The 14,774-nt window shown below is 38.8% G+C and overlaps 1 protein-coding gene across 8 annotated transcripts in view; it reads right to left on the bottom strand.

The window, feature by feature from the left end:
• Positions 1-14,774, bottom strand: part of GLRA2 (glycine receptor alpha 2) — a 283,034-nt gene that overhangs the window by 136,752 nt on the left and 131,508 nt on the right. For all 8 annotated transcript variants that reach the window (XM_047441999.1, NM_001171942.2, NM_001118885.2 and 5 more), the window contains one exon: positions 13,655-13,878. In XM_047441999.1, the coding sequence (XP_047297955.1) occupies positions 13,655-13,878 (224 nt within the window). The remainder of the gene's footprint in view (positions 1-13,654; positions 13,879-14,774) is intronic.

Below are 14,774 nucleotides of genomic sequence, written 5' to 3'. Positions count from 1 at the left end.
TTTCAATATTGTCTAAGGCTGGACCTAAATCCCAGGTTGTTTCTAAGCTGTATGGTTAGACTCTTTCCTCTCTATTAATTCCAAATAAGCACTTTTGCTGTTTTTTTTTTTTTTTTTTTTCCTGTTGACCTTGGGATGTAGAGGAGATAAATGGCAACACTGCTTGGCTCATTAGCTATTCTCCTCTCCCCTGACTAAAATCCCAGTGGCTGAGTAGGAAGGTCCATGTTTACCAAATATTATAAAGGCATCATAAAAAATACCCATATGCACTGAGCAATAGTAGCTGGGAAGGACAAAAATACAATATCTGTTCCCATCTGTGTGTGGTCCTTTCAGAAAGTGTGCACACATATGGTTGGCCCATGTTAATTAAGTCCAAATGTGGATTGGATTCAACTTGGAGAGCAACTGATAAATCTGCAGCTAAAATTTTCCCAAATGCTTTGATATTTCCTGGATGAAAATGTTTTGAAGGTGTTGAATAGAAGAGGGATAAATTGAACACCATCAGAGGAAGGAACTCAAATTACCAAAGATTTAAATAATCAATACTCCCCCACATCTTAGTTACATTTTACATTTCAAAGTCATTTCACATCTAGTATTTATATATCAAAACATTGGTGAAGGTAAAATGTAGCCTGCACATTGAAATAATGAGAACTGCCTTTTTCATTGTTACTATGCGTCTAGTATTACAGCTATTTAATCGTGGCACTGAGGTGAAGAAAGGGAGAAAGTTACTGTACAGTGTAGCAATTTTTAAAATGTTTTGAGTTCATTTTACTTTAAAAAAAAGGGGGAAGAGAACACGTGTAAGCATGCTTATGAACTGCAGATACCGTTTTGAGAAAACCAAAGTAACCTTGTACCTGTTGACAACTGAGGGCAAAATTGTGTTACCTGGCTGATATTTTGCTGCGTTAAAAAGACTTCCACTGTGGTAACTGATGGAGACTTACTGACCACTGTTTCTGGTGGCAAAGTTTGGAGAGAGAATGGAGTTCTGGTCAGTTGATAGGATGGTCCATCCTTGACTGGATAACACTTTGAAACCAAGCATAATTCCTCAGTTTACTTTTAACAAGCAGCTAAAGGGGAGGAACAGCATCAGCTAAACTATTATCTGAAAGTAGATGCAACTGTCACCTCTGTTATGAGCTACATGTCTCCCAAAAAGAGGAAACTCAAGGCAAGGAGAGTATCCATCTGCTTTGGACTAAGTGTGGAAAGTGAGTGGAGCCTGAATGGTACAAGTATGTCCATACGTATGTGTTAAGGAAGGTAAGGGGCGTTGTCGCCCTTACTTCCTCCCTTTTATCCTACAGCCAACTCAGGGATAATTAAGACATTCATTGAACATTTATTGTGAATCTGGAACTGAGAAAAACTGCAGGTCAAAGAAAGGTTAAATGACTTTTTATGGTCATTTAGTAAAATTGGATTTGAATCCAAGTATTCCTGACCCTCAGAACTGACATTTGTCCCACCCCAATAGAATTCTGTCTTTAATCCCCTAGCATACTTTTTGCTTTCTATCCTTCATCTGACTGCTCAAGTTTAGCAAAATATCCATACTAAAATGAAACATCAAATAAAACCTTTATTTTATTGTCATTTGAAATAACCAATCAATCAGAAATGAGATGGCTTTGCTCTGAGAGTATATCTCATGTGGAACTTCACATAATTGTATTAATATACGTACTTAATAATCTTTTAATGACTGTCCAATGATAAATATCGTATCCTCTTTGATACAGATGTTGGTTTGTAATTTTAAACACCACAAGCGAGAAGAAACTTGTTGGAGAGACTGCTGAGATACGCAGATGGACACATTTTTTTTTCCATTTTAAAATAAAGTACCTTTTCCTTTGGATTATGTGCTGTGAGAATGAACTAAAGTAATTCATATGTTTCATAAGAGCCATGGTGACATTATGCATGTTTATTTTGGTATTAATGTCATCCAGGGAGCCTTTCAAAGCAGCAGTGTGGACCAGGTAGAAGCCCACATTAATGTAAGTTGAGCACCCTCACCAGAACCTCTGGTTTTCCTTTGGCTTTCTGCCATGAGAAAGTTCAGGTGATGAGTAATAATAGCAGACTAGCTCTTCAACTCTGCTGGCTCAAATCTACCACATGATTCCTTTAGTCTACATATTCAGTCAATTATTTTCCCAGCCAACCATCTTTGTGTAATTGTCTAAAAGTATATAAACCTATGTTTCATGAACATATTCTAAAATAATAGTTCACAGATATTCCTGGTGATTGAATCAGAGGGTACAAATGATCTAGTTTACGACTGGGAAGTTTCTCAGGGCACTTGATACTGAGTATTTGTCATTGTGTAAACTATATGTTGAATTTTTCTTTTTTTGAGACAGAGTCTCACTTTGTCATCAAGGCCGGAGTGCAGTGGCATGATCTTGGCTCACTACAGCCTCGACTTCCTGGGCTCAAGCTATCCTCCTGCCTCAGCCCCCTAAGTAGCTGGGACTACAAACACACGCCACCAAGCCCAGCTAGTTTTTTTGTATTTTTTGTAGGGATGGGGTTTTGCCATGTTGCTCAGGCTTGTCTTGAACTCCTGAGCTAAAGTGATACACCCTCCTCAGCCTCCCAAGTGCTAAGATTGCAGGTGTGAGCCACTCTGCCCGGCCATGTTGAATGTTTTAACGCTGCCTCTTAAATTACAGGTAGTCCAAACCTCCCTAACCTACTCCAAAATCAGGTTCCTCTTCTCAGGAGTTGTATATTTAATTCAGGAGAAAAGGGTTCAAAGATCCAAGTAGTTTAAGACAGGCACCTTGAAATTCTGAATCTCCTCTGCTGACTCAAGCCCTAAGGGACATGAAGAATGCACTCTTATTTACTCATCAGGAAAGTGTTTTGTGGTTTGGGAAGGAGAGGGACGTTATTTTGAGTTACAGACTTATAATAGTGCTAGAAGGAGCCTCATACTTGGTCTAAGTGTCTGGTTCAGTCTCATTTTATAGAGGAAACTGAGACCCAGAATGATAAACTTATGGAGCTGGAAAGGCTGTTCTATGATCCTGGGAGATACAGTAAATGATGAAAGGAAGTGTGGAGATCACAATGCCCTGAGCCATCTTCTCAATATTCTGTTCTTTGTACCATTGCCTGAAGAGCAAACTGATGAATGTTAATGAAATGTAAGGTTACCTCTAAATGGAAGAAAACCTACTGGTTGCTATTGCTAGTCCAGTCACGTAAACAGTTAAGGACAAGTGGTCATGCTAGCTGCCATGTATTTCATTGATCAAGTCTCTCCTTTCCTCCAAACAAGCATAAGATCTGTAATGGTTAATATTGAGTGTCAACTTGATTGGATTGAAGGATGCAAAGTATTGTTCCTGGGTATGTCTATGAGGGTGTTGCCAAAAGAGATTAACATTTGAGTCAGTGGACTGGGAGAGGCAGACCCACCCTCAATCTGGCTAGGCACATCATCTAATCAGCTGCCAGCACGGCTAGAATAAAGCAGGCAGGAGAAGATGGAAGAGCCAACTTGCTGAGTCTTCCGGTCTTCATCTTTCTCCTGTGCTAGATGTTTCCTGCCTTCGAACATCAGACTCCAAGTCTTCAGCTTCTGGACTCTTGGGCTCACACCAGTGGTTTGCCAGGGGCTCTTGGGCCTTTGGCCACAGGCTAAAGGCTGCACTGTCGGCTTCCGTACTTTTGAGGTTTTGGGACTCAGACTGATCCACCACTGGCTTCCTTGTTCCTCAACTTGCAGACAGCCTATCATGGGACTCTATCTTGTGATGGTGTGAGTCAGTCAGTTCTCCTTAATAAACTCCCTTTCATAAATATATGTAATATGTAACTTGTAGTTCTGTCCCTCTAGGGAACCCTGACTAATACAAGATCCTTACTCTGTTGTGTCTGAACCAATATTAGGTCCCATAGTGTTTGCGTATTTCTAACCTGAGCAGGAGCTCAACAAAGCTTTCCATACTTTATGAGAGTCTGTCATACATACAACGCACTTTCTGGACCTTCATATTTCTACCCTCAGCTGTACCTTTTTAAAGAGCCCCTCTCCAAAAACAGCCCCTCCACACCACAGCTCCTGCTGAATCCACTAGCATATGTGCATGCCAGTGCTTCCCACCCTCCCGACCTTGCTCGCCTCTAGGAAGAATGGAATCATTGTGGTTTCCATGGCATTTCCCAGCACTTCTCTGAAGACTGCTTAATTCTGATGTGGACGCTTATGTTACAGACATTAATTACTTAAGTCACAATACTAATGAGGATTTGGACACAGAGTTAGAAAATGAGAATGTAATTTTGCCTGGATTATAGAACATAAAGATAAATAATGGTCCAAATATGCACAGCGAAAAGAAATCATAGTTTTTCATAGCTGCCTTCTAATAGAAAATACGGGCTTATGTGTCTCATCAAAATTGAGAGTAAGGTAATCAAAGCAACACCACTGGCAACATTTAAGGCAGGTCTCAGTTCATTGTACATTTTATTTTTGGCTCTGACATCTAAATAGAGAATGTCCTTATTCCCTATGCCATAAAAAAATATATAACTAAAGTTAGAATCTTTTGAAGTTCTTGCATCAGACTATAGGATGAGTCAAGGATGGGAGGCCATGTGAGAAAAGCTAGCCTTTTATGTATGTGGGTAGAGTTGGTCATTAGACAAGATTGTTTGGAGGAACATCGTTGGATGTCTGTCTAGAAATCTGCACTATACCTACTCTCAGTGGTGCCTGTAATCTATCATCAGAGGGAAAAGCGTGTCAATCCCCAAGAGTTCTCTATTACAACTCAAGTACTACTGGGAAGGCAGAATACTGAATTATCAACACCCAGAATTGCAAATAGAATCAAAAGGGATTAACAAGCAAATCACCTCCAATGCCATAAAGTTTTAGGTGCCAATAAGTTTTAGGTCAGATAAAGGTTGATGATGAGGTAAACAGATGCTTTGGTGATATGGGGTGCTATTGTTGAGGGGCAATTTTATAATTATTTATGGGTTATTAGATGGTAGTATGAGGCCCCCAGATAACTGGTCAGTTTAATAACACACTGAAAGCAAACAATATTTCCTTAATCACTTCACCTTTAGGCATACCCATTCTGGAGGCATGCAGTAAATCTGGAAACAAAGCTCAAGCTCTTAACAGTTGGAGGGTCATAGCTTCTTTAATAAAGATAAGGACCTTTTCCTCTAAACAAACAAACAAAAAATAGCTTAAATAACCTAATGCACAAAATATGCATATATATATACATATATATACATATATACACACATATATATACACATATATATACACACACATATATGTGTGTATATATATACACTATACATATATATATATATATTTTTTTGAGATAGAGTCTCGCTCTGTTGCCCAGGCTGGAGTGCAGTGGCACAATCTCTGCTCACTGCAGCCTCCGCCTCCTGAGTTCCAGTGATTCTCCTGTCTCAGCCTCCTGAGTAGCTGGGACTACAGGCACCCGACACCATGCCCGGCTAATTTTTGTACTTTTTTTTTTTTTTTTTAGTACAGATGGGGTTTCACCATTTTGGCCAGGATGGTCTCGATCTCCTGACCTCATGATCCACCCATCTCGGCCTCCCAAAGTGCTGGGATTACAGGCATGAGCCACCGCGCCCTGCCAAAATATGCATATATTTTGAGGAAGGTTCAAGCAAAACCATATGATCATCCCAATAGACACAGAAAAATCTTTTGATAAAATTCAAAATCCTTTCATGGTAACAACCATCAACAGACTAGGAATCAAAGGAACATCGCTCAAAATAATAAGAGCAATCTATGACAAACCCACAGTCAACGTTATACTGGATGGCAAAAGCTGGAAGCATTCCCCTTGAGAACTGGAACAAGACAAGGATGTCCTCTGTCACCACTCCTATTAAACATAATACTGGAAGTCCTAGCCAGAGCAATCAGGCAAGAGAAAGAAATAAAAGGCATCTAAATAGGAAGAGAGGAACTGAAACTATTTCTCTTAGCTAATGATATGATTCTATACCTAGAAAACCCTAAAGACTCAGCCAAAAGGCTCCTAAATTGATAAATGACTTTAGTACAATTTTAGGACACAAAATCAATGTACAAAAATCAGTAGCATTTCTATACACCAATAACATTCCAGCTGAGAGTAAAATTAAGAACACAATACCATTTGCAATAACTACAAAAAAAATGAAATACTTAGGAATACAGCTAACCAAGGAGGAGAAAGATCTCTACAAGAACTACAAAACACTGCTGAAGGAAATCAGAGACGACACAACTAAATGGAAAAACAACCCATGCTCATACATTTGAAGAATATCATTAAAATAGTCATACTGCCCAAAGCAATTTACAGATTCAATGCTATTCCTATCAAACTAACAATGTCATTTTTCACACAATTAGAAAAAAAAACTATTCTAAAATTCATACAGAACCAAAAAACAGCCCAGATAACCAAAGCAATCCTAAGCAAAAAGAAGAAAGCTGGAGGCATCACACTACCCAAGTTCAAACTGTACTATAAGGCTACAGTAATAAAAACAACATGGTACTGGTACAAAAACAGACACATAGACCAATGGAACAGAATAGAGAACCCAGAAATAAAGCCACACACAACCAGCTGATCTTTGACAAAACAAGCTGGGGAAAGGACTCCTTTTCCCAAAAAATGGTGCTGGAATGACTAGCTAGCCATATGCAGAAGAATGAAACTGGACTACCACCTTTTACTATATACAAAAATTAAATCTAGATGGATTAAAGATTTAAGTGTATGGCCTCAAACTATAAAAATCCTAGACAGGGCTGAGCATAGTGGCTCATGCCTGTAATCCCAACACTTTGGGAGGCTGAGGTGGGCAGATCACTTGTCGGGAGTTCGAGACCAGCCTGGCCAACATGGAGAAACCCTGTCTCTACTAAAACTACAAAAATTAGTTGGGCATGGTGGCATGCACATATAATCCAAGCTACTTGGCAGGCTGAGGCAAGAAAATCACTTGAACCCAGGAATGGAGTTGTCAGTGAGCCAAGATCACACCACTGCACTCCAGCCTGGGTGACAGAGTGAGATGTTGTCTCAAAAGAAAAAAAAAAAAAAATCCTAGACAGAAGCTAGGAAACACCATTCTTGACACTGGCCTTGGAAAATTATTTTTAGACAAGTCCCCAAAAGCAATTATAACAAAAACAAAAGTTGCCAAATGGGACTTAATTAAACCAAAGAGCTTCTTCACAGCAAAAGAAATTATCAATAGAGTAAACAGACAAGTTACAGAATAGAAGAAAATGTTCACAAACTATGCATCTGATAAAAGCCTAATATCCAGAATCTATAGGGAACTTAAGCCAATCAATAAGCAAAAAACAAATAGCCCCATTAAAAATGGGCAAAGGACATGAACAGACACTTCTCAAAAGAAGACATACACATGGTCAACAAACATAGGAGAAAATGTTCATCATCACTGGTCATTAGAGAAATGCAAATCAAAACCACAATGAGATACCATCTCACACCAGTCAGAATGGCTATTATCAAAAAGTCAAAAAGCAACAGATACTGCAAGGCTGCAGAGAAAAGCAAACACAAACTGTTGGTGGGAATGTAAATCAGTTCAGGCACTGTGGAAAGTAGTTTGGAGACGTCTCAAATAACTTACAACAGAGATACTATTCGAACCAGCAATCCCATTCCTGGGTGTGTACCCCAAAGAAAATAAATTGTTCTACAAAAGACACATGAAATTGTATGTTCATCACAGCACTATCCACAATAGCAGACATGGAACCAGCCTAGCTGCCCATCAATGGTAGATTAAAGAAAATGTGATACATATATACCATAGAATACTACGCAGCCATAAAAAAGCATGAAATGATGCCCTTTGCTGCAACATGAATTGTGTGTGTTTGTGTCTTTGGACTTGGGTTGAAGTAAATGAGGAATTAATGTGGGGGTAGGAAATGACAGCACTGAAACAGAAGTTAAGAGCCCTGATTCTTGTCCTAGCTTTCCTACTTACTAGCTCCATTGTGACGTCCTTATCAACAAAACAAGGGTGTTGGATTAGATATTTTACAAGGTAACTTCAAATTTAAAAAAAATCCTTCTATAAAAGTCATATTTCTGACTAAATTCTCAGAAGCAATGGGATTTTTAAAAAGAAGACAATATCAGCAAAGATACTGTGGGCATGTGAGATGAGCTGTTCTTCAAAAATGCTCACCTTCTCCTTTTTTCTTTCATGTTGTCCACCATATCCCATGATGTCCTGACCTTTATTCCAACTCACAATATTAAATTCAACAAATATTGTTTAAACAATAATATGTACAACCTTCAAGACTCACCTCACTATTTCAGTATGGATTCAAGTATGGATTCATTGTAAGTAATGTGAATTTAGAATTTGACTCTCTCTGAATTTAGAATTTGACTCTTTCCCCATCCCAGATGAAGGACCACATGTTACTCAGTACTTGATCTCTATTCTCTGGATTATTGACTTTCTCTGAAGAAGGTTTACAAATCAAAATGTATACTCTTGTCAGAGATGATCAATAATTAATGGGGCAGGTCAACAAACAACTTAGGAAAAAACAGAGAGTAAGATAAAACATTAGAGAATGAATATTAAAGAAAAATGGACAGAAATGGATTTGGTACTTTTTCATCAACAAAGATTGTGTCCTACATCACTGGATAAAAGGTTTATTAACACTGAGATAAGGCCTTTCCTTCCTATTTAAAAGATTTGTTTGAATTTTAGTCAAGGTACCCCAAGTGTTCATAAGGATGACACTTACGGAGTTCTGGTCTACTGCCTTCTCTTTTTTTTTAGACCCCTACCTTTTGGAATACAGATATATGAAGTATTAGGAAAGGTGATCGTGCTTGTTATGAAATCAGTGGACTGTATATTTCTATATTTGTTTTGTTTGACAATCAAAACCTTGGGCTTTGGTGCCCATATAGAGTTAATTCTACCCCTACACCTACAAAGCCAAGAAAAGCATGGAATTTTTCCCAGATTAAATGCAATTGATATTTGCTTTAGGTTTCAGGAAAATGCAAATACAGAGTATCAAGACAGAACATTACTTTTTAAAATGTGGACCACATGCTTACATAATTAAATAATTGCTTAAGTATTTACTGTGTATGTGGAGACAGTTTTAGGGTTTTTATTTGGTACTTCTAGCCCCTTCCTTGTATCTTTCCCAACCTTTCTTCATTCTATCCCATTTCTCCTCTTAGGAATCCAGTATGTTCATCCTCAGAAATAAATTTTATATCAGCTCTTTAGAGTTTAGTATGGATTTAAGCCAGTGGATTTCCTCTCCTGGGAGTATTTGTGTTGTAAACCTGAGTATGCAGGGAAATTACTTTCTAATGGAACGTCAGCAGGAACTTTTCAGCACCTTTAAGACATGGACACAACTGTACCCCCCTTGGCCTTAAATTTGAGTCAAACCTGCAGCTGGGCATATATTAGCATTAGTTACTCCTTGACCTCTAGTTAAATTGAGCCCACTGACAAACAGGACTGTGGATGCCAACTGCCAAATTCTGACAATATTTTGATCACATACTTCATTTGCAAAATTAGAGCCACTTTTGTTTTCCTTGTTTCCTATTTATTCCTATTACTTAATTTATCATGCATCCACCTGCCTTGTTAGACTGAAGTCATTCCAGGGGAAAGACCACATCTTACTTAGTTCTGGATCTCTAGACCCAGTACAGTATCTGGTTCATCAAAAGCCCTTCTAGGCAAATAATTAGATTCTTGCAGTTCAAATCTCCGAACAGCTTGTATTTTCTTAAAATGATATCCCCAATTCTCCTTTACCAAGGTTTTTTATTTTGATTTCAGAAAATACTCACAATGAAAGAAAAGTATAAAATAGCCTGCACAGGACAATCCCCACCTAATCCAAAACAGTTGTCAGGGCATTTCAGGGCCTGTAATGTGCTATGCTTGGGAACCAGAGACACAAGAATTGCCTCTGGGTCTAGGCTTGGGAGCATCATACTCTTCATGATTCTAGAATGTAAAGACCTTCACAAAACAGCAAGAAAGCAACAACAGCAACTACAATCTGATTTTATTTCAGCAGTGTGTGATGCCTGGTATTCATTAGAGCAAATGCCACCCAAGGCCTGGAGGATTAGCTGGGGCAGCTGATGCTCTGTGCTGCTTTTTATAACTCTCCTTCCTAGCACCACACTCCACATATGTCCCATTTTCTCAGGTCCGATCAATTTATGTTGTGCTCAGTACTGCATTTTACACCAACCAAACACATCACCATGGAGAATGTTTTGTGTTTCCTTAAAAATGAATGGTCACTGGGGGAAGTTTCCTGGTTTTCTGTGCAAGCAGTGACTTTGCCGCTTTTTACAAATGAGCAGCTTCTTTTATTCCACAAGACATTGGGGCTGTCAGCCATCAGCATGCTGTGAAATTACTAGGTATAAGAATGGAATTTACAATACAGAACCAAATCATATACAGAGTTGTCAAATGAGGTGATGATGGTGAGTCTGCAGACTTGGAAAAATTATTTGCAAGGAGACTAGCTGTTTACTTTTTTGGTAATAAATTTATATAGCGAAAGGGGGCATTCTGTTAAGGACCTTTAAATGCCAATACTTTATTCAATGTACTGTCTCTCATATACAGTACATTGTCCTAGACATTTGGTAGATGTTACAAAAAAGACAAAAACCAAATATCTTGAATTGAAAGAGCTAAGAGCTTACTACTGAAAAGGAACATTAATTTTTCTAAACGCTGATTTTAGGTTCAGGGATACATGTGCAGGTTTCTTGTATAGGTAAATTGCATGTCATCGGGGTTTGGTGTACAGATTATTTCACCACCCAGGCAATAAGCGTAGTACCCTATAAGGCAGTTTTTTGATTCTCGTCCTCCTCTTTCCCTCCACCCTCAAGTAGGTCCCAGTGTCTGTTGTTCCCTTCTTTGTGTCCATATATATTCAATGCTTAGTTCCCACTTATAAGTAAGAACATGCAGCGTTTGTACTGCATGTTCAGTTGAACAGTACTGTACTATTCTATACTATTCACTGAACAGTATTCTTCTGTTCCTGTGTTAGTTCACTTAGGATAATGCCCTCCAGTTCCAACCATGTTGCTGCAAAGGATATGATCTCATTCTTTTTTATGTCTGTGTAGTATTCCATGGTGTACAGTGCCAGTTTTTGTTTTGTTTGGTTTTTTGTTTTTGTTTTTGTTTGTTGACACAGAGTCTCACTCTGTCACCCAGGCTGGAGTGCAGTGGCACTATCTCGGCTCACTGCAACCTCCGCCTCCCAGGTTCAAGCGATTCTCCTGCCTTAGCCTCCTGAGTAGTTGGGACTACAGGCACGTACCACCATGCCCGGCTAATTTTTTATATTTTTTAGTAGAGACGGGGTTTCACCATATTGGCCAGGCTGGTCTTGAACTCCTGACCTCGTGATCCACCCATTTCGGCCTCCCAAAGTGCTGGGATTACAGGCGTGACCCACGGCGCCCAGCCGCCACATTTTCTTTATCTAGTCTACCACTGATGGACATTTAGGTTGATTCTGTGTCTTTGCTATTGTGAATAGTGCTGCAATGAGCATACATACACGTGCATGTGTCTTTATGGTAGAATGATTTATATTCCTTTGGGTATATATCCAATAATGGGATTGCCTGTTCAAATGGTAATTCTGCTTTGTTTGAGAAATTGCCAAACTGCTTTCCACAATGGCTGAACTAATTTACATTCCCACCAGCAGTGTATAAGTGTTCCGTTTTCTCTGTGACCTCACCAGCATGTGTTATTTTTTGACTTTTTAATAATAGCCATTCTGACTGGTGTGAGATGGTGTCTCATTGTGGTTTTTATTTGCATTTTTCTAATGATTAGAGATGTTGAGCATTAAAAAAAAAGAACTGATTTTAAAATACAGATAGCCATTATTTTATTTATCAAACATTTACTCTGTGTCAGGCACTGCAGCAAGTATTTTTAATATATCTTATATCAAGGGTTGGCAAACTACAGCCAAAGGGCCAAATCCAGTCCACCATCTATTTTTGTAAATAATATTTTATTGAGACACAGCCGTGTCCAATTGTTTGCATATTACCTATGGCTGCTTTTGAGCTATAATGATAGAGTTGAGTAGTTGCAACAGAGGCAATCTGGTCTGCAACATTTAAGATAATATCTGGCCCTTTACAGAAAATATTTGCTGACCACTACATTACTCATTCACACAAGAATATACAGAGATAAACATGGAGTTTCCCGTTTTAAAATTAAGGTAACTGAGGGTCATAGATTACATAACTTAGTAAGTGGCAAAGCTTCGATTTGATTCTAGATTTGTCTAATTCCAGAAATCCATGTTTTTATGCTATACTCATGAACAGCAATAACCAAAATAATAAGGCAGGAAAAAATAAGAGCCTTACAGAGTCACAGATAAACTGCTATTAGATAGCAAAGACTTGGAACCAACCCAAATGTCCAACAATGATAGACTGGATTAAGAAAATGTGGCACATATACACCATGGAATACTATGCAGCCATAAAAAATGATGAGTTCACGTCCTCTGTAGGGACATGGATGAAATTGGAAATCATCATTCTCAGTAAACTATCGCAAGAAGAAAAAACCAAACACCGCATATTCTCACTCATAGGTGGGAATTAAACAACGAGAACACATGGACACAGGAAGGGGAACATCACACTCTGGGGACTGTTGTGGGGGTGGGGAGGGGGAGGGATAGCATTGGGAGATATACCTAATACTAGATGACGAGTTAGTGGGTGCAGTGCACCAGCATGGCACATGTATACATATGTAACTAACCTGCACGTTGTGCACATGTACCCTAAAACTTAAAGTATAATAAAAAAATATGGAAAAAAAAAAAGAAACTGCTATATGAGTTCAGAAAAGGGGGAGATTATTTTGAGCCTAGAGTGATAACACTTCTGGAGAAGATCATATTTGAATATAAAAGCAAAAATGGATCTCAGCAATTGTCTGTCCCAGGCCCAAGTCCAAGAAAAGTTAAGAGATCAAGGTCACGTGTTTACTTAGAAGCAAAGCTGACATTGGAACCAGGTTTCCATGTATCCAGCTATAAGTATGTTGTTAATGACTATGCTGAGCTATTGAATTTGTGTGTGTGTGTGTGTGTGTGTGTGTGTGTGTGTGTGTGCATGCTTGAATGTTACAGAATGGCAGAATTATTGAAATGAGATTTTGTATATTATGCTTAATGGCAATTGAACGGAATAGCCTGTACTTCCTTTACTGAAGCAATCAGGAACACATTTGTGCAGGTGATTACACAATACCATTAACCATGTACCATCCTACCAAATACATTCTTGTTATGGAGAATCACATTTATGAGACCAAAGGGACTTCTGACACTCTCCACCAACTTTAAGATTCAAATGATAAACAAGAAACCACAAAAGTCAAATATTCATATACATCCTACCCTGCAGAATCAGGCAGCTCTACATTAGTGGAGAAATGGAGATGCGAACATGTGCAGCCAATGGAGGCTTACCTGATACTGTAGAGCACTTTGCCATTTTTCGAAATCCGTAGCAATTTGTTGTCAGTGGTGACATCGTGGAAGTTGGCACCCTTCTCATTGGCAAAGAACAAATCTGGTTTCCAAATGGAGTCTAGCATGGATGGGTCCAAGTCCAGGGAGTCATCTGGGTACTCACTGTACGCCAGCCGTGAATCATTCCACTGTTGTCTCAGAAAAATATTCACTCGGTAGTCCTACAGAAATGCCGTGGACAAGTGTTACTGATTACCCTGGCACAGGAGTTCTATTTGCATTTCTCTCTCATTCTTCTCCCTGATTTGATACAGCTTTGGTGTCCGAGTAAACCAAACTGTGTATACCTTGGTCAAAATAAACCATTTAGTTCTATTAGGAGAGGGGACAAAAGGGAGAAAGAAAAAGGAAGATTCAACCAAACCAGAACACCAATAAAACGGGTTGACTTGGTTGAATTTTTTAGTGTTTAAATTATTCATTTTGGGATGAAATAATACTAAAGCTGATTTTGCTACAGAAAAAGGTAAACAATGAACACAGAAATCAGTCTGTCATGGCAGATTGTCAAATAAAACTGATTTATTTTCCAAATCAGAAATCACATGATCTCTGATCCCTTTCTGCTGAGATGCTCTGGGCAGAAGGAAACCCACTGCGTAATTTGAGTAGTGAAAATCTTATAAAACTATGACATGATGGGGCAATATTTTAAAATTTATCAACGTAAACATTAAGATCTTTCATGTTGACAAAATATTTTCCTTGCAGCTACTTACTTTTGAAATTCTTATCATTTTGTCTGAATGTGTTGTATCTACACTAGCCAACTTGATGCTTTATCCAGAGATGTTTCACGTTCTCAATCAGAACACTGTGGGAGACTTAGGTACACCCCTGGCATTCCCATTTGGTCTGGGAATTTTCTTCTGTTAATGAATAGCTTGGGGGCAGTGACTGCTCTTCTGGGGACTTCTACTCAAAGACCTTAGGTTCATTGAAAGTACTACTTCACTTGATAATCTGGACTCCGATTGAGGCTTCAACAGTATTCCCTAACCAAGCCAGTCTGTGGTTTCAGAGCTAGTAGTTATCCACTATTGCTACGTGTGACCAC

Source organism: Homo sapiens, chromosome X (assembly GCF_000001405.40).
Source record: "Homo sapiens chromosome X, GRCh38.p14 Primary Assembly".
NCBI lineage: Eukaryota > Metazoa > Chordata > Mammalia > Primates > Hominidae > Homo > Homo sapiens.
Note: the sequence above shows the minus strand (reverse complement) of the source record. Positions and strands in the feature narration are given on the sequence as shown.